This window comes from Homo sapiens, chromosome 7 (genome assembly GCF_000001405.40).
Source record: "Homo sapiens chromosome 7, GRCh38.p14 Primary Assembly".
NCBI lineage: Eukaryota > Metazoa > Chordata > Mammalia > Primates > Hominidae > Homo > Homo sapiens.
Genome location: NC_000007.14, coordinates 50566807 through 50588217, shown reverse-complemented (window position 1 = coordinate 50588217; position 21411 = coordinate 50566807). Strand labels below are relative to the sequence as shown.

The 21411-nt window shown below is 43.6% G+C and overlaps 1 annotated feature.

The window, feature by feature from the left end:
* Positions 17425-17950: an enhancer, noted in NCBI's record as "OCT4-NANOG hESC enhancer chr7:50637965-50638490 (GRCh37/hg19 assembly coordinates)". NCBI's record gives its function as "activates a minimal SCP1, AML or CMV promoter by ChIP-STARR-seq in primed H9 embryonic stem cells {active_cell/tissue: H9 hESC(primed)}" and the evidence as "EXISTENCE:reporter gene assay evidence [ECO:0000049][PMID:30033119]".

Sequence of the window (21411 nt, the reverse complement as noted above, 5' to 3'; positions counted from 1 at the left end):
GTCTTTCTGTGCTTGGCATATTTCACTTCAAATGGTGTCTCCATTTCCGTCCATGTTGCTACATCTTTGCAAAAAGATGGAAATTGTGTGTTTGCTCCCTTTTGTCAACCTCTCCTAGCATTTGCGGAGAGGCCCTGCAGCTCTCTTGGTGTTTGAATCTGAGTTGCTGTCTTAGTCCTGTCCTCCTCCATATCCGTGATGGTGTTTCAGTAGGGTCTGTTCTCTATGCTGTTTCCTTGCACACTTCCCTGCTAGGCTGGCTTCACTTTTCTCTGACGTTTCTCTTCAGAGCTCTGCCAGCTTTCTTTATCTAGTGCCTGAGCTTTTACAGCTCCGCTTTGACCTTCGGTGATGTGATTGCTTTCTTGTTTCTTGTTTTGTTCTTTTAAGTTCGTGACATTATGTTTGGTTGCAATTTTAATCTACTCACAGCAATGTTTTTCTACAGAATGCTCTTGCTACCATTTTTCTCCTATTATTTTCTTTTATCTTGGGGTATCTACATAGAAGATCAGTGCTGGTTCTTTAAAGGAGATGAGCTCTTCTTGGACTAGCCAATAGACAGGAAGTTTAGGCAGGGAAGTCCACAAGGGCTGTGTTGGATGCTACCAGGACAAAACAAAAGTAAGGCTGAGTATGAGAGTTTCAAGAACTTGACAACGTAAGCCATTAAGATGGCCAACCAACTAACTCCTCTCACTTCCTGTGGTCACCCCACCTTCACGTCCAGCCCTTACACCACTTCCAGATGAAACTCCAGAAATGACAGCTGGTAAATTTATAATAGAACCACATTTTCTCATTGGTCATCACTGTATATTCATACGTAGGCACACAGATCCACTCTGCTCTGTATACTCACACCTGGGCACACGGATCCATTATGCCGTAACTGTATACTCACACCTGGGTACACAGATCCACTCTGCTGTAGCTGTATACTCACACGTGGGCAAACGGATCCACTCTGCCATAGCTGTATATTCACATGTGGGCAAATGGATCCACTCTGCCGTAGCTGTATACTCACACGTGGACGCAGATCCACTCTGCCGTGGCTGTGTACTCACACGTGGGCAAGCGGATCCACTCTGCCATAGCTGTATACTCACACGTGGACACAGATCCACTCTGCCGTAGCTGTGTACTCACACGTGGGCGCAGATCCACTCTGCCGTGGCTGTGTACTCACACGTGGACGCAGATCCACTCTGCCGTAGCTGTGTACTCACACGTGGGTGCAGATCCACTCTGCTGTAGCTGTGTACTCACACGTGGGTGCAGATCCACTCTGCCGTAGCTGTGTACTCACACGTGGACAAGGATCCACCCTGCTGTAGCTGTATACTCACACCTGAATACAGAGATCCACTCTGCTGTAGCTGTATACTCACATGTGGACAAGGATCTACTCTGCTGTAGCTGTATATTCACACCTGGATACACAGATCCACTCTGCTATAGCTATATACTCACATGTGGACACAGATCCACTCTGCTGTAGCTGTATATTCACATGTGGATACAGATCCCCTCTGCTGTAGCTGTATACTCACACCTGAATACACAGATCCACTCTGCTGTAGCTGTGTACTCACACGTGGACAAGGATCCACTCTGCTGTAGCTGTGTACTTACACATGGACAAGGATCCACTCTGCTGTAGCTGTGTACTCACATGTGGACAAGGATCCACTCTGCTATAGCTGTATACTCACACCTGAATACACAGATCCACTCTGCTGTAGCTGTATACTCACATGTGGACACAGATCCCCTCTGCTGTAGCTGTATACTTACGGATGTGCACACAGATCCTGTGAGAGCTGTGGCAGAGATCTCTATTGGGAGCACAGAGGTGAGCCTGAGTCCCATGGGAGATTCGTCTGGAAGGTGTGTGTGGATGAACGTGAGGGTGATTTGACCACAGGCAGGAAGAGACGATGCAGCCTACATAGGTGTGTTCTGTCCAATATAATACTAGTCACACGGGACTATTTAAACTTTAATTTTAATTATAAAGTAAAATGAGAAGTGTAGTCCTTGGTTGCACAAGCCCACATTTCTAGTTATCAGTAGCCACACGTGGCTGGTGGCTACTGTGTTGGAGCGTGCTGATCTAGAACAGGTCCATCATCAAGGGAAGTTCCATTGGAGAATTCCGGCCTAGGTGAGCGGCCATGATAGCCTAAATTACAAAGGTGGTTACTGATGATCGGAATGAGGAGGGAGTCATGTGAGAACTGGTCTTTGCGTCTGGGGGATGCGCTGAATTGGTGGAGCCCAACTCCAGATTCCAGGCTGAGGGTCCTTCCACTTGAGTGGCTCCTCTGTCTCATCCACAGATAAGACACACTCACCTCACAACCAGTGAGCAACCACCCACTTCTGCTTGCTTTCCAATTGTAACTGAATGCCCACGGCTTCGAGTCATAAATGTGTGCTGTATACAAAACTCAAATGTGTCTGTGTAGCCTCCACCTCCACAACCTCCCTAGGAAAATGATGGCATCCCAAGTGGGTATCACCCTACTCAATAAGCAGATGTCCTGGAGTGATCCAGAGGTAGAATGTGTACATTTTCTATTTCCCAAGTTAGTCACCATTACTGTGAGCATACTGTCATTTGAGCATCTCCCTGGAAAGCGGAGTATAGTTTTATTGTTTAAGTATAAAGTGTGAAATGTAAGCAACAAGTTCATCTGGTGCTTGTCTGAAGACACAGCTGCCTTTTTCTTAGTTCTTGCAGGACTAAGAATTGTCTGTGCAGGACTTCTCAAGAGACAGACCGTTTTGTCCTAGGCGATGACACTTAAAACAGGGATCATTCTGCATTTTCAGTGCTGGTTTTATAGCTCAGCCGGCTATAACATGGGACTCCTCAGGCTATATCAAACCTGCTTTTCTGGTTCTTTCCCTCCAAAATGAGTACCTTCAATATGATCAGTGCAGACACATTCCTGGCCTCAGGCCCAGAGATTCTGATTCAGTAGGTTGAGCAAGGGACAGAATGGTGCCTTTGTACCAGGCCTCCCCTGTGATTCCGTGCATCCCCCACTGGGAAAGGGAATTTTAGCAGATGCCAAGGAGTCAGGCCTGTGGCTTCCTCTGCCACACGATAGCAGCGTGACTTGGGGAATCCTCAACACAGCTGGAACAGGATGCCACTTGGTCACAGCAACAGACTCTGATCTGCCCGCTCATCAGCCACCTGGAGGGCTGTGCAAACCCACAGATCTCTGGGCCTTCCTCAGGCCTGTGGAGTAAAAACCTTTGACTTGGCAATTAAAGTGCTTTCTCACATACCACCACAGGTGAATGAGATCATCTCCAACTTTCCATGAGCTCCAGTAACTTATGATTTATGAATTTGCTTCATCTTCATCCCTCCCCAAACCATCAGAGATTTTAGTTTCTAAATGTAGTGGTGTTGGTAGTGTGGGCGGAAAGGTTGACGATTAAATTCTAAAGTGCCCAAAGCTGCCCTCAGGGGATGTGCCAGTGAACTCAGAGTGGGCATCACTGGAAAAGGCCCATGGAGGACTCAGGCCCCAGGCAGGACACGGGCAGCTTCCAGCTCAGCACCACCCACTGGTAGGCTCCATTTTTCCCCAGGGTGCTGTAGATGATGCACAGGGCTGGAGGCAGTGCAGCCCCCCATTGTCTCAGTCTCACTCCCTGCCCAAGGCCCACCAGCACCTGCTGCTCACCAAAGGGAAAGGAAGCTGGTCGATTTGGCATGTCTAGGTTTACACAGCTGTTTCATGCAAAGCCAGGCCAGCACCTGGTCTCCCACTGGCCTGGCTGGGTTTCTCCCAGTACCCTCCATCCTCTCTCCTTGCAGCTGAGGTCTGCACTGAATCATCCTTTGCAGAACCTAATAGTGGCCTTCAAAGTCACATTAAACCTATGGCCAGGTAACAGCAAAGGGACTGTGTGTCGCCACCTCTCCCTCTTGCCAACCTAAACACCCCTGGCAGGACACCCTCCAGCTCTGTCTCCTGACTCCACTCACCCCTCTGCTCATTTGCAAAATGAGACTGCCAATACCACCTCTGTCCATCTCCCAGGCCAGGCACAAGCAAGAGGGTAAGTGTGAATTCCAACTGTAATGCATCACAGCCTGGTTATGGGAAGGTTGATTTGAATTAATTTAAAAAGTAATAAGTGGATCACTTTGTCTTTGATCAGGAATCCAAGTGACTGAGGAAGTGCTGGGACAGTGAGTCTCCAGACTGAGGACTCTGTTGTCATGGTGTATTGGGGGAACCAGCCCCCAATATTTCAACATAGGTTCTTTTCTATTTTCCCTAAGTGTCGGCTGGTCTGAGAAATAAAGGGAGAGAGTACAAAAGAGAGAACTTTTAAAGCTGGGTGTCTGGGGGAGACATCACATGTCGGCAGGTTCCATGATGCCCCCTGAGCCATAAAACCAGCAAGTTTTTATTAGCAATTTTCAAAGGGAAGGGAGTGTACAAAAAGGGTGTGGGTCACAGAGATCACATGCTTCATAGGGCAATAAAAGATCACAAGGCAGAAGGTCAAGGTGAGATCACAAGGTCAGGGAGAAACTAGAATTACTAATGAAGTTCCATGTCCTGCTGTGCACACATTGTCATTGATAAACATCTTAACAGGGTTCAAGAGCAGAGTACTGGTCTGACTAGAATTTACCAAGCTAGAATTTCCCAATCCTAGCAAGCCTGCGGGCGCTGCAGGAGGCCAGGGCATGTTTCATCCCTTATCTGCAACTGCATAAGACAGACACACCAAGAGCAGCCATTTTAGAGGCCCCCCCTGGGAATGCATTCTTTTCCCAGGGCTGTTACTTATTAATATTCCTTACCAGGGAAAGAATTCAGCGATATTTCTCTTACCCATTTTCGGTAATAAGAGAAATATGGCTCTGTTCTGCCTGGCTCCCAGGCAGTCAGACCTAATGTTTATCTCTCTTGTTCCCTGAACATCACTGTTATCCTGTTCTTTTTTCAAGGTGCCCAGATTTCATATTGTTCAAACACAGATGCTTTATAACCAATGTGTGCAGTTAATGCAATCATCACAGGGTCCTTAGGCGACATACATCCTCAGCTTACAAAGATGACGGGATTAAGAGATTAAAGACAGGCATAGGAAATTATAAGAGTAGTGATTGGGGAAGTGATAAATGTCCATGAAATCTTCCCAATTTATGTTCTTCTGTCATGGCTTCAGCAGGTCCCTCCGTTCGGGGTCCCTGATTTCCCACAACATCTCTCCCTTTCTTTATATGTAAATGTGCCATGGTGTTGAAGGCTTGTTCATTCTCTCGATTTTGACGCAGGATTCTTTGACTGGTCTGGCACACTAAAGACAAGCCGATTAAACAGAGAAACATAATTCCAAAATTTACTACAGTGGAGCCCCCAGTAGACTTAATCCAAGTTATGGGGTTTAGTCCAGAAAGATTTTCTGCCACCTGATCTAATGCCTCAGCTCCAGGCACAATGGATAAATGAGCTTGAGAGACTTCAAAAATTTGTTTCTTTAATTTAGTTATGTCCAATGATAAATTATCTTCCCTATCCAGAAGGTGTCCTTTGACCATTTCCCATGAATGATCAGTCTCATTATAGGAATACAGGGTGATTTAGAAATTAGAGGTATTCCAATCGCACTGCATTTGCATGCGATGCTGAAGACTCACTACCCAATCTCCAAGCCAAATAACAGACTGAAATCATTAATTTGATTAGCCAATTTTTGACCAAAGCCTTGTTGAGAATTCCTCATTTAGGTGGAATTGGCTTGCCAATCATTAACAAAATGAGCTGTTTGAATAGATTGATGTAACGCCATTCTGGCAGTGGTGGCCATTGCAGTGACTGTAATTAGGCCCATGATCACAGCGATTAAAGTGAAAACAAATCTCTTAGATCTTTTTAGAATTTGCTGTAACACTTCATTAATTCAGTGTATCGAGGGGGAGGATTCCCAAGGTCTGGGCAAAGTTACCAGAATCCAGATTCCTTCTCGAGCTCGAACCAACATTACACTTTTCCTGGAGTGAAAATGGGAGTTAATACAAGTGTATAAATGACAATTAATACATTGGACAGTTTGATTGTTCATCCAAATTTTGATATTTTCCACTAACAGCATGTAAGGAGACTTAACACAACTCTGTATGGGAACAGTCAGGTTGGAGATAAGTAAAGCAGAATGTGTGGATCTACGTTGACACTGAGAGAGGGGAAGGGTAGTGGGGACAACAGACAGAATAGTTTCCCCTTCCCATACTCACAGTCCAGACGTGGCAATAGCCAATTTCCAAAGTTCTGGGTGTTCTGGGCTCAGAATGGGGAATATCATATGAGGCCTCGGGAGGGTGGGGGGGGTAATGCCTTTATCTTCCCATTTTAAGGGATAGAACGAGCTGAACCTCCTATGCAAAGTAGAATGATGATTCTCATTCTCCTGATAAGAAATAAAATAAATAGCCTCCAGGCATTCCCTTCTGCCAGAGGAGCAATTGTGTTTTAAATAGCTCTTTGTTGCCCAGTCTATTACTAAACCATATGAGTTATTTTTTAATATTACTGCATGTGAGTTAAGACAGTCTTCCCAAATTAAAGTTTTAGATGGGCCCTCAAAACTTTTAGGGCATGGCTTTCCTGCAGGTTTTATATTGAAAGTATGGAGTATCTCCCATTACTCCCTCTTTCATTTGTTTTAAAGGAGAAAGGGAGAGGCTGGAGACCAAATGTCCTGGTTTTTCTGTAGCTAATCTCTCCAGAAGATAAGCAGCCCAGACTTGGGTTTCTATATGGATACAACCAGGTGCATGTCCGAGGCACAGAGGGGGACATCTATAACCCATGGTAACATTAAATGCAGTGCCTTCTTCTCCTGGTTGAGTGGGGCAACGGTCATCTGTAGCTCCAGGCATCCACACACTATCGTTAGTGTAGATTTCTGCAGGAGCTTCCATCCAGGTAAGAGGTCGAATAAGTGGAGGAAAAGGTACATAAGCCCAATAAGAATAATTTTGTGTAGCAGGTAAATCAGTGTGAGAGGAAACTGGTGAGATAGAAAGTATAAGGAGGAGAGTTCATTAAATAAAACCTAGTATAAGAGAGATTCAGTGCTGAAGAAGGAAGAGAAGAACAGAGGGATGTTATTTTGAGGCTAATAGAAATGGTGAGATTTTTAGGTTTGTAAGGAGAAAAAGAAAGGTAATCAGGAGAAGTGGGATTAGTTAGATGGGTCTCCATTGCCATCAGGGAGGATTGAATCAGACCCATTTTGATTTGGCATGCCAGCTTCTGAGGAGTTGGCACAGATCTCACCACATCTGGGAGTGGTTTGTGAAGCGGACATCTTTTCCCTGTGGTTTTCATTTGAGGATCTCCTGGTGAAACACAAGCATATCCTCTTCCCCACATTAAGTAGAATCAGACAATATTTAAAGGTTTGGGGAAGCTTGTCTGTAGGACCTACATAACCAGCATTTACATTACAGGAGCCATCAGTGAACACTCTAACGGCCTCAGGAATAGGCTGATCTTTGGTTAATCAAGGGACCACCCAAGACGTCATTTTTATAAAATCAAACAATTTGTTCTTTGGATAATGATTGTCAATAACGCCAATCAAATCAGCCAAGTGAATTTGCCACAGTATGGAATGCTGAAAGGTGGCTTGAACTTCAAGCCGACTTAAAGGAACTACAATTAAATTCAGATCAAATCCGTAAATTTTAAGTATTCTACACCAAGCCTGTCCAATTAAGATGGCTATTTGGTCCAGATAAACAGACAAAGTTTTCGACAGAATGAGGAAGAAAACACCACTCTACTAAGTCATTATGTTTAACTATTAGCCCAGTAGGGGAAAGCAATGAAGCAAAAACTAGAAGCTGAAAAGGCTGAGATTGCTGTACTCTAGATAACTGGGCGGTCTGGATTCTTTCCTCTACAAATTCCAGTTCTAGTGAAGCCTTAGGGGTCAATGTCCTGGGACTGCAGAGATTGGAATCTCCCCACAGCGTAGAAAACAAGTTAGACAGCGCATAGTTCGGAATGCCTAAAGTAGGTCTTAAATAATTAATGTTACCCAAAAGTTGTTGGAAGTCATTTAAACTTTTCAAAGAATCTCTCCTAATTTGAATTTTTTCTGGTTGAAAACGTTGTTTATCGACCATCATTTCTAAATATTGAACAGGAGTGGCCTGTTGAATTTTATCCTGAGTGATGTGTAATCCAGCCTCTGTAACACAGTGGCTCATAATTTGATAACAGTCAATTAATTATTTATCAGTGGGGGCAGCAATTAAAATATCATCAATATAATGAAGAATACAGGCCTGGGGAAATTGGGCTCGAACTGGTGAAAGTACTTGCCCAACATAAAGCTGGCAGATTGTAGGGCTATTTAGCATTCCCTGAGGAAGTACTTTCCATTGATAATGAGCTGCAGGCTCCTGATTATTGATAGATGGTAGAGTAAAAGCAAATTTTTCACAATCCGATTTAAGTAAAGCAATATTTAAAAAACAAACTTTAAGATCAATAACTATGAGAGGCCAATTTTTAGTTATTAAAGCAGGGGCAGCCATGCCAGGTTGGATGGCCCCCGTAGGTTTAATTACAGCATTAATGGCTCTTAAATCGGTTACCATCTGCCACTTAACTGATTTCTTTTTTACTAGAAACACAGGAGAATTCCAGGGGGAAAGAGAAAGTTCCACATTTCCAAGTTGTAACTGTTCAGAAACCAAGTGAGTTAAAGCCTCCAGTTTTTCTTTAGAAAGCAGCCACTGCTCTATCCAAACAGGTTGTCAGATTTCCACTGCAAAGGAATAGGATCAGGAGGCATGGCAGCAGCTGCCACTAAAAAGGATAACCTAAACCAGCTCTGTCTTCTTTTACAATAATTGGGAGGGGTTTAGTTTCATGCGCGTCCATGTGAAGAGACCACCAAACAGGCTTTGTGTGAGCAACATGGCTGTTTACTTCACCTGGGTGCAGGCGGGCTGAGTCTGAAAAGAGAGTCAGCAAAGGGTGGTGGATTATCATTAGTTCTTATAGGTTTTGGTATAGGCGGTGAAGTTAAGAGCAATGTTTTGTGGGCAGGGGTGGATCTCACAAAGTACATTCTCAAGGGCGGGGAGAATTACAAGGAACCTTCTTAAGGGTGGGGGAGATTACAAAGTACCTTCTTAAGGGTGGGGGAGATTACAAAGTACATTGATCAGTTAGGATGGGGCAGAAACAAATCACAGTGGTGGAATGTCATCAGTTAAGGCTATTTTTACTGCTTTTGTGGATTGTCAGTTACTTCAGGCCATCTGGATGTATACGTGCAAGTCACAGGGGATGCGATGGCTTGGCTTGGGCTCAGAGGCCTGACATTTAGTAATCCCTTCATGTTTTGGACCGATACCAAGTCCAGGAACAAACCCCATGTTTTCCATCATGTGCTGACTGGCAGCACTGTAAGAGTTATGTGGAATATTAATTTCAGCCCCCCATTGTGCCAGTAACTCTCTTCCCCAAAGATTAATGGGGATTGGCATGATATAAGGCTGAATTGTACCCTTTTGACCATCAGGGCCAGTGCAAAGCAAGATAAATGTGCTCTCATAAACTTCTTCGGCTTTTCCAACACCTACTAGTCCCATGTTAGTGGGATGTTTAAGCCAGGAGGAAGGCCATAAACTAGAGGAAATAATAGAAACATCAGCCCCAGTATCTACTAGGCCCTCAAACTTTTTTCCTTGAATGTGTATGGTACAGGTGGGCCATTGTTTAGAAATTATATTAATCCAATAAGCGGCCTTTTGACCGCCGGAGCCCGTCCCAGGGCCAGGTGTCTTATCTCTTTTGTTTAAAATGATATTAGGTAGTAAAAGCAATTGAGCAATTGACTCACCAGCCAGAATGGAAACAGGAACCTTGGCAGTCATGATGAGTTTAATCTTGTCAGGTGAATAAGAGTTAGTGAGACCAGTGGCATAAGTATCAGAGAAACTATCAGAGCCTTTGAGCTGAGCCTGAGTAATTAGAATGCCATTAGTCCAATTTAGCTGAGCCTGCAGATGGGCCTCTGCTGACCACCAGGTACAGAATTGTAAATGCTGAGATGGGGTTAGAACAGCTTTTGCCAAAAGGTCCCAGTCTAAAGGAAGCAAAGTGACCTCCGTACGAAAAGTTTGTAATACGATTTTAACATAAGGAGAAGTAGGACCATGCTGAGTACAAGAAGAAAGGTACAGGGAAGCAGGTTGAGTGGATGGCAAAGTGACCACTTGAGGAACCGAAATGACAGGAGGGTGAGGGACTGTAGTGGATGGGGGAGGGCCTGCAGAATTACAGGTAAATTTAGTTTTTTCCTGGAGCCATTAGGTGATGCCCGGAGGCAAATGCTGCAAAGGTTTGAAGAGGGAAGAATTAGCATATCTATGGTCCCAGGATATGTGGGTCCGGGCCGCAGGAGCTATGAGTACCAGCTCTTTGTGAAAAGAAATAAGATCATCAGGCGCTGACTGCAATCCAAACTCACCGGGGTTAGACATTGAATTCTCAACATCGTCAGGTGGGGGAGGAGTAGACGAAGGAAGAGGCTGATCAGATAACGAAGGCCGTGCAGGAGAGGAGGGTTGAGGAAGAGGTGGAGGGTCAACAGATTCAGAAAATTGTGGTAACTGTAGGGGGTCACGGGATTGGTATGTCATTAATATGGCACGTACCAAGGCCCAATCACCAAAAACAGGGACGGGAACATAATTCCCTGCCGAGACCATTTCCTGGAATGTTGAACCAACATGATCCCATAGTTCTACATCTAAGGTTCCTTTTTCAGGAAACCAAGGACTGTATTCTTCCACTGCCCTGAATAGAGTGACCATATTTTCCATGGGCACTCAAACTCTTTTCATTTGTTTTAATCGGAGTTTAATATAAAAGAGATAAGTATAATTTTTAGACTCCATGTGACCCATAGTTAACCCGGACCATACACAGACTACTCACCAGTTGTTAGGGAGTCAAACATGCATTTCTGTGGACTGAACCGATGACATTTCTCTGCACCTACCAAAGGGAATTGTGTTCCCATATGCACTTAGGAAAAAAAAAAACCCACGTGGGTGCCAGATATCAGGGGAACCAGTCCCAAATATTTCAACGTAGGTTCTTTTCTATTTTCCCTAAGTGTCGGCCACTCTGAGAAATAAAGGGAAAGAGTACAAAAGAGAGGGATGGAGCCAAGATGGCTGAATAGGAACAGCTCCAGTCTACAGCTCCCAGCATGAGCGACGCAGAAGACGGGTGATTTCTGCATTTCCAACTGAGGTACCAGGTTCATCTCACTGGGGAGTGTCAGAAAGTGGGTGCAGGACAGTGGGTGCAGTGCACTGAGTGTGAGCTGAAGCAGGGCGAGGCATTGCCTCACCCAGAAAGCACAAGGGATCAGGGAATTCCCTTTCCTAGTGAAAGAAAGGGGTGACAGACAGCACCTGGAAAATCAGGTCACTCCCACCCTAATACTGCACTTTTCCAACAGTCTTAGCAAATGGCACACCAGGAGATTATATCCCGCACCTGGCTCGGAGGGTCCTACGCCCACAGAGCCTTGCTCACTGCTAGCACAGCAGTCTGAGATCAAACTGCAAGGCGGTAGTGAGGATGGGGGAGGGGCGCCCACCGTTGCTGAGGCTAGAGTAGGTAAACAAAGCAGCCAGGAAGCTTGAACTGGGTGGAGCCCACCACAGCTCAAGGAGGCCTGCCTGCCTCTGTAGACTCCACCTCTGGGGGCAGGGCATTGCCAAACAAAAGGCAGCAGAATCCTCTGCAGACTTAAATGTCCCTGTCTGACAGCTTTGAAGAGAGTAGTGGTTCTCCCAGCACGCAGCTGGAGATCTGAGAACAGACAGACTGCCTTCTCAAGTGGGTCCCTGACCCCCGAGAAGCCTAACTGGGAGGCACCCCCCAGTAGGGGCAGACTGACACCTCACACGGCCAGGTACTCCTCTGAGACAAAACTTCCAGAGGAATGATCAGGCAGCAACATTTGCTGTTCACCAATATCCGCTGTTCTGCAGCCTCCACTGCTGATACCCAGGCAAACAGGGTCTGGAGTGGACCTCCAGCAAACTCCAACAGACCTGCAGCTGAGGGTCCTGACTGTTAGAAGGAAAACTAACAAACAGAAAGGACATCCACACCAAAACCCCATCTGTATGTCACCATCATCAAAGACCAAAGGTAGATAAAACCACAAAGATGGGGAAAAAACAGAGCAGAAAAACTGGAAACTCTAAAAATCAGAGTGCCTCTCCTCCTCCAAAGGAACGCAGCTCCTCACCAGCAATGGAACAAAGCTGGACGGAGAATGACTTTGACGAGTTGAGAGAAGAAGGCTTCAGACGATCAAACTACTCCAAGCTAAAGGAGGAAGTTCGAACCCATGGAAAAGAAGTTAAAAACCTTGAAGAAAAATTAGACAAATGGCTAACTAGAATAACCAATGCAGAGAAGTCCTTAAAGGACCTGATGGAGCTGAAAACCATGGCACGAGAACTACATGATGAATGCACAAGCCTAAGTAGCCAATTTGATCAACCGGAAGAAAGGGTATCAGTGATGGAAGATCAAATGAATGAAATGAAATGAGAAGGGAAGTTTAGAGTTAAAAGAATAAAAAGAAACAAACAAAGCCTCCAAGAAATATGGGACTATGTGAAAAGACCAAATCTACGTCTGATTGGTGTACCTGAAAGTGACAGGGAGAATGGAACCAAGTTGGAAAACACTCTGCAGGATATTATCCAGGAGAACTTCCCCACTCTAGCAAGGCAGGCCAACATTCAAATTCAGGAAATACAGGGAAAACCACAAAGATACTCCTCGAGAAGAGCAACTCCAAGACACATAATTGTCAGATTCACCAAAGTTGAAACGAAGGAAAAAATGTTAAGGGCAGCCAGAGAGAAAAGTCGGGTTACCCACAAAGGGAAGCCCATCAGACTAACAGCTGATCTCTCGGCAGGAACTCTACAAGCCAGAAGAAAGTGGGGGCCAATATTCAACATCCTTAAAGAAAAGAATTTTCAACCCAGAATTTCATATCCAGCCAAACTGCACTTTGTAAGTGAAGGGGAAATAAAATCCTTTACAGACAAGCAAATACTGAGAGATTTTGTCACCACCAGGCCTGCCCTACAAGAGCTGCTGAAGGAAGCACTAAACATGGAAAGGAATAACCAATACCAGCCACTGCAAAAACATGCCAAATTGTAAAGACCATCGAGGCTAGGAAGAAACTGCATCAGCTAATGAGCAAAATAACCAGCTAATATCATAGTGACAGGATCAAATTCACACATAATAATATTAACCTTAAATGTAAATGGGCTAAATGCTCCAATTAAAAGACACAGACTGGCAAATTGGATAAAGAGTCAAGACCCATCAGTGTGCTATATTCAGGAAACCCATCTCACGTCCAGAGACACACATAGGCTCAAAATAAAGGGATGGAGGAAGATCTAACAAGCAAATGGAAAACAAAAAAAGGCAGGGGTTGCAATCCTAGTCTCAGATAAAACAGACTTTAAACCAACAAAGATCAAAAGAGACAAAGAAGGCCATTACATAATGGTAAAGGGATCAATTCAACAAGAAGAGCTAAGTATCCTAAACATATATGCACCCAATACAGGAGCACCCAGATTCATAAAGCAAGTCCTTAGAGACCTACAAAGAGACTTAGACTCCCACACAATAATAATGGGAGAATTTAACACCCCACTGTCAACATTAGACAGATCAACGAGACAGAAAGTTAACAAGGATATCCAGGAATTGAACTCAGCTCTGCACCAAGTGGAACTAATAGACATCTACAGAACTCTTCATCCCAAATCAACAGAATATACATTCTTCTCAGCACCACAGTGCACTTATTCCAAAATTGACCACATAGTTGGAAGTAAAGCACTCCTCAGCAAACGTAAAAGAACAGAAATTATAACAAACTGTCTCTCGGACCACAGTGCAATCAAACTAGAACTCAGGATTAAGAAACTCACTCAAAACTGCTCAATTACATGGAAACTGAACAACCTGCTCCTGAATGACTACTGGGTACATAACGAAATGAAGGCAGAAATAAAGATGTTCTTTGAAAGCAACGAGAACAAAGACACAGCATACCAGAATCTCTGGAACACATTCAAAGCAGTGTGTAGAGGGAAATTAATAGCACTAAATGCCCACAAGAGAAAGCAGGAAAGATTTAAAATTGACACCCTAACATCACAATTAAAAGAACTAGAGAAGCAAGAGCAAACACATTCAAAAGCTAGCAGAAGGCAAGAAATAACTAAGATCAGAGCAGAACTGAAGGAAATAGAGACACAAAAAACCCTTCAAAAAATCAGTGAATCCAGGAGCTGGTTTTTTGAAAAGATCAACAAACTTGATAGACTGCTAGCAAGACTAATAAAGGAGAAAAGAGAGAAGAATCAAATAGATGCAATAAAAAATGATAAAGGGGTATCACCACCGATCCCACAGAAATACAAACTACCATCAGAGAATACTATAAACACCTCTATGCAAATAAACTAGAAAATCTAGAAGAAATGGATAAATTCCTCGGCACATACACCCTCCCAAGACTAAATCAGGAAGAAGTTGAATCTCTGAGTAGACCAATAACAGGCTCTGATATTGAGGCAATAATTAATAGCTTACCAACCAAAAAAAGTCCAGGACCAGATGGATTCACAGCCAAATTCTACCAGAGGTAAAAGGAGGAGCTGGTACCATTCCTTCTGAAACTATTCCCATCAATAGAAAAAGAGGGAATCCTCCCTAACTCATTTTATGAGGCCAGCATCATCCTGATACCAAAGCCTGGCAGAGACACAACAAAAAAAGAGAATTTCAGACCAATATCCCTGATGAACATAGATGCAAAAATCCTCAATAAAATACTGGCAAACTGAATCCAGCAGCACATCAAAAAGCTTATCCACCATGATCAAGTGGGCTTCATCCCTGGGATGCAAGGCTGGTTCAACATATGGAAATCAATAAGCATAATCCAGCATATAAACAGAACCAATGACAAAAACCATATGATTATCTCAATAGATGCAGAAAAGGCCTTTGACAAAATTCAACAACGCTTTATGCTAAAAACTCTCAATAAATTAGGTATTGATGGGATGTATCTCAAAACAATAAGAGCTATCTATGACAAACCCACAGCCAATATCATACTGAATGGGCAAAAACTGGAAGCATTCCCTTTGAAAACTGGCACAAGACAGGGATGCCCTCTCTCACCACTCCTATTCAACATAATGTTGGAAGTTCTGGCCAGGGCAATCAGGCAGGAGAAGGAAATAAAGGGTATTCAATTAGGAAAAGAGGAAGTCAAATTGTCCCTGTTTGCAGATGACATGATTGTATATCTAGAAAACCCCATCGTCTCAGCCCAAAATCTTCTTAAGCTGATAGGCAATTTCAGCAAAATCTCAGGATACAAAATCAATGTGCAAAAATCACAAGCATTCTTATACACCAATAGCAGACAGAGAGCCAAATCATGAGTGAACTCCCATTCACAATTGCTTCAAAGACAATAAAATACCTAGGAATCCAACTTATAAGGGATGTGAAGGACCTCTTCAAGGAGAACTACAAACCACTGCTCAATGAAATAAAAGAGGATACAAAGAAATGGAAGAACATTCCATGCTCATGGGTAGGAAGAATCAATATCGTGAAAATGGCCATACTGCCCAAGGTAATTTATAGATTCAGTGCCAACCCCATCAAGCTACCAATGACTTTCTTCACAGAATTGGAAAAAACTACTTTAAAGTTCATATGGAACCAAAAAAGAGCCCGCATTGCCAAGTCAATCCTAAGCCAAAAGAACAAAGCTGGAGGCATCATGCTACCTGACTTCAAACTATACTACAAGGCTACAGTAACCAAAACAGCATGGTACTGATACCAAAACAGAGATATAGACCAATGAAACAGATCAGAGCCCTCAGAAATAATGCCACATATCTACAACCATCTGATCTTTGACAAACCTGACAAAAACAAGAAATGGGGAAAGGATTCCCTATTTAATAAATGGTGCTGGGAAAACTGGCTAGCCATATGTAGAAAGCTGAAACTGGATCCCTTCCTTACACTTATACAAAAATTAATTCAAGATGGATTACAGACTTAAACATTAGACCTAAAACCATAAAAACCCTAGAAGAAAACCTAGGCAATACCATTCAGAACATAGGCATGGGCAAGGACTTCATGTCTAAAACACCAAAAGCAATGGCAACAAAAGCCAAAATTGACAAATGGGATCTAATTAAATTAAAGAGCTTCTGCACAGTGAAAGAAACTACTATCAGAGTGAACAGGCAACCTACAGAATGGGAGAAAATTTTTGCAATCTACACATCTGACAAAGGGCTAATATCCAGAATCTACAATGAACCCAAATAAATTTACAAGAAAAAAACAAACAACCCCATCAACAAGAAGGCGAAGGATATGAACAGACACTTCTCAAAAGAAGACATTTATGCAGCCAAAAAACACATGAAAAAATGCTCATCATCACTGGCCATCAGAGAAATGCAAATCAAAACCACAGTGAGATACCATCTCACACCAGTTAGAATGGCGATCATTAAAAAGCCAGGAAACAACAGGTGCTGGAGAGAATATGGAGAAATAGGAAAACTTTTACACTGTTGGTGGGACTGTAAACTAGTTCAACCATTGTGGAAGTCAGTGTGGCGATTCATCAGGGATCTAGAACTAGAAATACCGTTTGACCCAGCAATCCCATTACTGGGTATATACCCAAAGGATTATAAATCATGCTGCTATAAAGACACATGCACATGTATGTTTATTGCATCACTATTCACAATAGCAAAGACTTGGAACCAACCCAAATGTCCAACAATGATAGACTGGATTAAGAAAATGTGGCTCATATACACCATGGAATATTATGCAGCCATAAAAAATGATGAGTTAATGTCCTTTGTAGGGACATGGATGAAGCTGGAAACCATCATTCTCAGCAAACTATCTCAAGGACAAAAAACCAAACACCGCATGTTCTCACTCACAGGTGGGAATTGAAAAATGAGAACACATGGACACAGGAAGGTGAACATCACACACCGGGGCCTGTTGTGGGGTGGGGAGAGTGGGGAGGGATAGCATTTGGAGATACACCTAATGTTAAATGACGAGTTACTGGGTGCAGCAAACCAACATGGCACATGTATACATATGTAACTAACCTGCACGTTGTGCATGGGTACCCTAAAACTTAAAGTATAATAAAAAAAAAAGAGAGACATTTTAAAGCTGGGTGTCCGGAAGCGACATCACATGTCGGCAGGTTCCATGATGCCCCCTGAGCCGTAAAACCAGCAAGTTTTTATTAGCAATTTTCAAAGGAGAGGGAGTGTACGAATAGGGTGTGGGTCACAAAAATCACATGCTTCATAGGGCAATAAAAGATCACAAGGCAGAAGGTCAAGGCGAGATCACAAGGTCAGGGAGAAACTAGAATTACTAGTGAAGTTCCATGTCCCACTGTGCATGCATTGTCATTGATAAACATCTTAACAGGGTTCAAGAGCAGAGAACTGGTCTGACTAGAATTCGCCAGGCTGGAATTTCCTAATCCTAGCAAGCCTAGGGGCACTGCAGGAGGCCAGGGCATGTTTCATCCCTTATCTGCAACTGCATAAAGCAGACAACCCCCCCAGAGCAGCCATTTTAGAGGCCCCCCTGGGAATGCATTCTTTTCCCAGGGCTGTTAATTATCAATATTCCTTACCAGGGAAAGAATTCAGTGATATTTCTCTTACCCATTTTCGGTAATAAGAGAAATATGGCTCCGTCCTGCCTGGCTCCCAGGCAGTCAGACCTAATGGTTATCTCCCTTGTTCCCGAACATTGCTGTTATCCTGTTCTTTTTTCAAGGTGCCCAGATTTCATATTGTTCAAACACACATGCTTTACGATCAGTGTGTGCAGTTAATGCAATCATCACAGGGTCCGGAGGCAACATATATCCTCAGCTTACAAAGATGACAGGGTTAAGAGATTAAAGTGAAGATAGGCATAGGAAATTATAAGAGTAGTGATTGGGGAGGTGATAAATGTCCATGAAATCTTCCCAATTTATGTTCTTCTGTCACGGCTTCAGCAGGTCCCTCCGTTCGGGGTCCCTGACTTCCCACAACATCTTTCCCTTTCTTTTTATATAAATGTGCTATGGTGATGAAGGCTTGTTCATTCTCTCGATTTTGATGCAGGATTCTTTGACTGGTCTGGCACACTAAAGACAAGTCAATTAAACAGAGAAACCTAATTCCAAATTGCACTAGGCTGTCCCCCTGAAAAGCTGAGTCTTTTTCACTACCTGGCTAGAAGGCATATGAGAAACGGAAGCAGGAAATTCACAGAAGAAAAACTATACATGACTATGGAACATTTCAATGTAATTTTTAAAATTACATAGAAAACATAGGCATAGCTAGTTGTCCATGAGTTGCCTTGTCTAGCTTTTTGTAGTCATTGATTAATCCTCACTTTCAGATTTCACAAATCTCGACCCACTTTATTTTTATAGAATGAGATCATCTCTTGATAGAGGCCTTTGCAGTCTGATCACAACCTACAGTAAGAAATGCATTCTATATTATGACCCAGTACACATATTCCTGTACATCATTGAAAGGTTCAGAAAGCAATATTTTCATCATTAGGTGCAATGTCTCCTGTTTTATATTTTATTCTGTTCTATTGCATTTTTTAAAATGCTGGTCATGAGACCTGCAAAACCCATTCCATGACCCACCAATAGTCTGAGGCCAATGATTTGAGACTTTTGAGAGAAAAACAAACTTGGAGGACTGACACTGCCCAACTTAAAGACTTACTACAGCCAGGCGCAGTGGCTCACGCCTGTAATCCCAGCACTTCGGGAGGCCGAGGTAGGTGGATCATTTGAGGTAAGGAGTTCAAGACCAGCCTGGCAACATGGTGAAACCCCATCTCTACTAAAAATACAAAAATTAGCCAGGCGTGGTGGTACATGCCTGTAATCTCAGCTACTCGGGAGGCTGAGGCACAAAAATTGCTTGAACCTAGGAAGTGGAGGTTGCAGTGCACCGAGATAGCGCCACTGCACTCCAGCCTGGGCAACAGAGCGAGACTGTGTCTCAAATAAGTAAGTAAATTAATAAGTAAATGAATAAAAGACTTACTACAAAGCTACAGTAGTTAAGAAAGTGCTATTGGTAAAAGAATAGACAGATGAATGGAACAGAATAGAGAGCTCAGAAATAGACCCACACAAATATGGTGAAATGGTCTTTGACAAAGGAGTGAAGGCAATACAATGAAGAAAGGATAGGCTCTTTGACAAATGGTTGTGGAATAAATGGACGTCCACATGCAAAAAAAAAAAAAGAATCTAGATCTAGACCTTTACTCAAAATGGTTCATAGACTTAAAGGTAACATGCAAAACTATAAAACTCCTAGAGGATGACACAAGAGAAAATCTAGTTTAGTTTGATGATGACCTTTTAGATAAATCACCAGTTTCCTCCATTAAATACAATCTATGGAGGAAAAGGACTGATGAATTGGACTTCATTAAAATAAAAAACTTCTACGCTGGAAGAAAAGAAAACAGAATTGATATTCTCACCAGCTCCTAAACAAATTGGCTTTTCCAGGAAAACTCAGTTCCCCTGACACTCCTGTCTGTGGGCTTGGCCAGAGTGTGGGCATAGCAGTAGAGCTCCTCTCTCTTCACCCATGGCCTCAGCAAAGCCCCCAGTGCCCACTTTGCTCTGGCACACAGTGGTCTCAGCAGGAAGCCCCGTCTCTTCTGCTCCCAGGAGCCACACTCAGGTGCACTGTGAATCTCTTTCACAGTCACGTCTGCACCTGCAGTCTCCCTCCTGCAACATGCACACTGTTGCGACTGACTGCAGGCCACTCTGGCATCATGAGAGATGGCCGTTGCTGCTCCTGTGGAAGAGCAGACTCACCCTCTTCCAGGAACAGCCTTGGCTGCAACCCATGCTACCTTCCCCTGCCCTGGGGCATTACAAGGTCACACGAGATCAGCCTTTCTCAACCAGGGGCAATTTTGCCACCAGGAAACATGCAATGCCTGGAGACATTCTTGGTTGTCACAACTGGGGACTACTGGCACCTAATGAGTAAAAGCCGGATGCTGCTAAACATTCTATAATGCACAGGACAGCTCCCATCACAGAGAATTATACACCCTTAATGTAATAGTGCTGGGATGGTTAATGTTATGTGTCGACTGAAGTGGGCTAAGAGATGCCCAGAGGGCCAGTAAAGCAGGATTTCTGGTTGTGTTCATGAGGGTGTTTCTGGAAGAGATTGGCATTGGAATCTCCAGAAAGTAAACAAGATCCATCCTCACCAGTGTGGGCTGGTAACATCCAGTTTGTTGAGTGCCAGAATAGAACAAAAAGGTGGATGAAGGGCAAATTCTTTCTCTTCTTGAGCTGGGATATCCATCTTCTCCTGCTCTTGGGCCTTCAAACTCAGGATGAATTACACCACCAGCTTATCTAGTTCTCCGGCCTGTAGATGGAAGACTGTGGGACTTCCCAGCCTCCATAATCACATGAGCCAATTTCTACAATAAATCTCTTCTTATATTCCTATATCCATATCCTATTATTTCCAGTTTTCTGGAGAAACCTGACTGATAAAGTGCCATGGTTGGGAAATCCTGCCCTAGATTTCTTTCTTTGGTCCTCGAAGCCTCACCCCTATTCCCCATAAATCCCACACCTGCAAGAAGAAAGGAAATGTAAAAAGAGTCCCTTCTGGGAACGGATGCTGATTCCTATGTAGATTTCTCTATTGAGAGATAACTGTTGCTCAGTAGTTGGACACTACTAGTTCACTTTTTTGAGGATTTCAAAACTGAGGTCTCTCTTCTCTATGGATGTTTTTTTTCCAGTCCTATTGCTTCAAATATCATCTAAACACTTTCAACCCATAACTTTATTTCCTGTCTGGGCCTCTTTTTCTGAGCTGTACTGGACATCTCAAATCACACGATTTGTGGATATCTGAAATTTAATTCCCAAACTGAATCCTTGGTGTCCTTCACCTCCCCACACCCAATACTGGTCCACCCCAGTCTTCTTCCTCTCAGTCTATGACCGTCATCCCCTGCCCACTGGCTTCATCACTGGGTAGTCGTTCCATCCCCTTGACTCCTCCCCTTGTCCAGCAACCTCCTAACATGCACACACACACACGCACTTATGGGGAATATTAGCACGCTTCTTCATCTCAAGCCCCCCCTC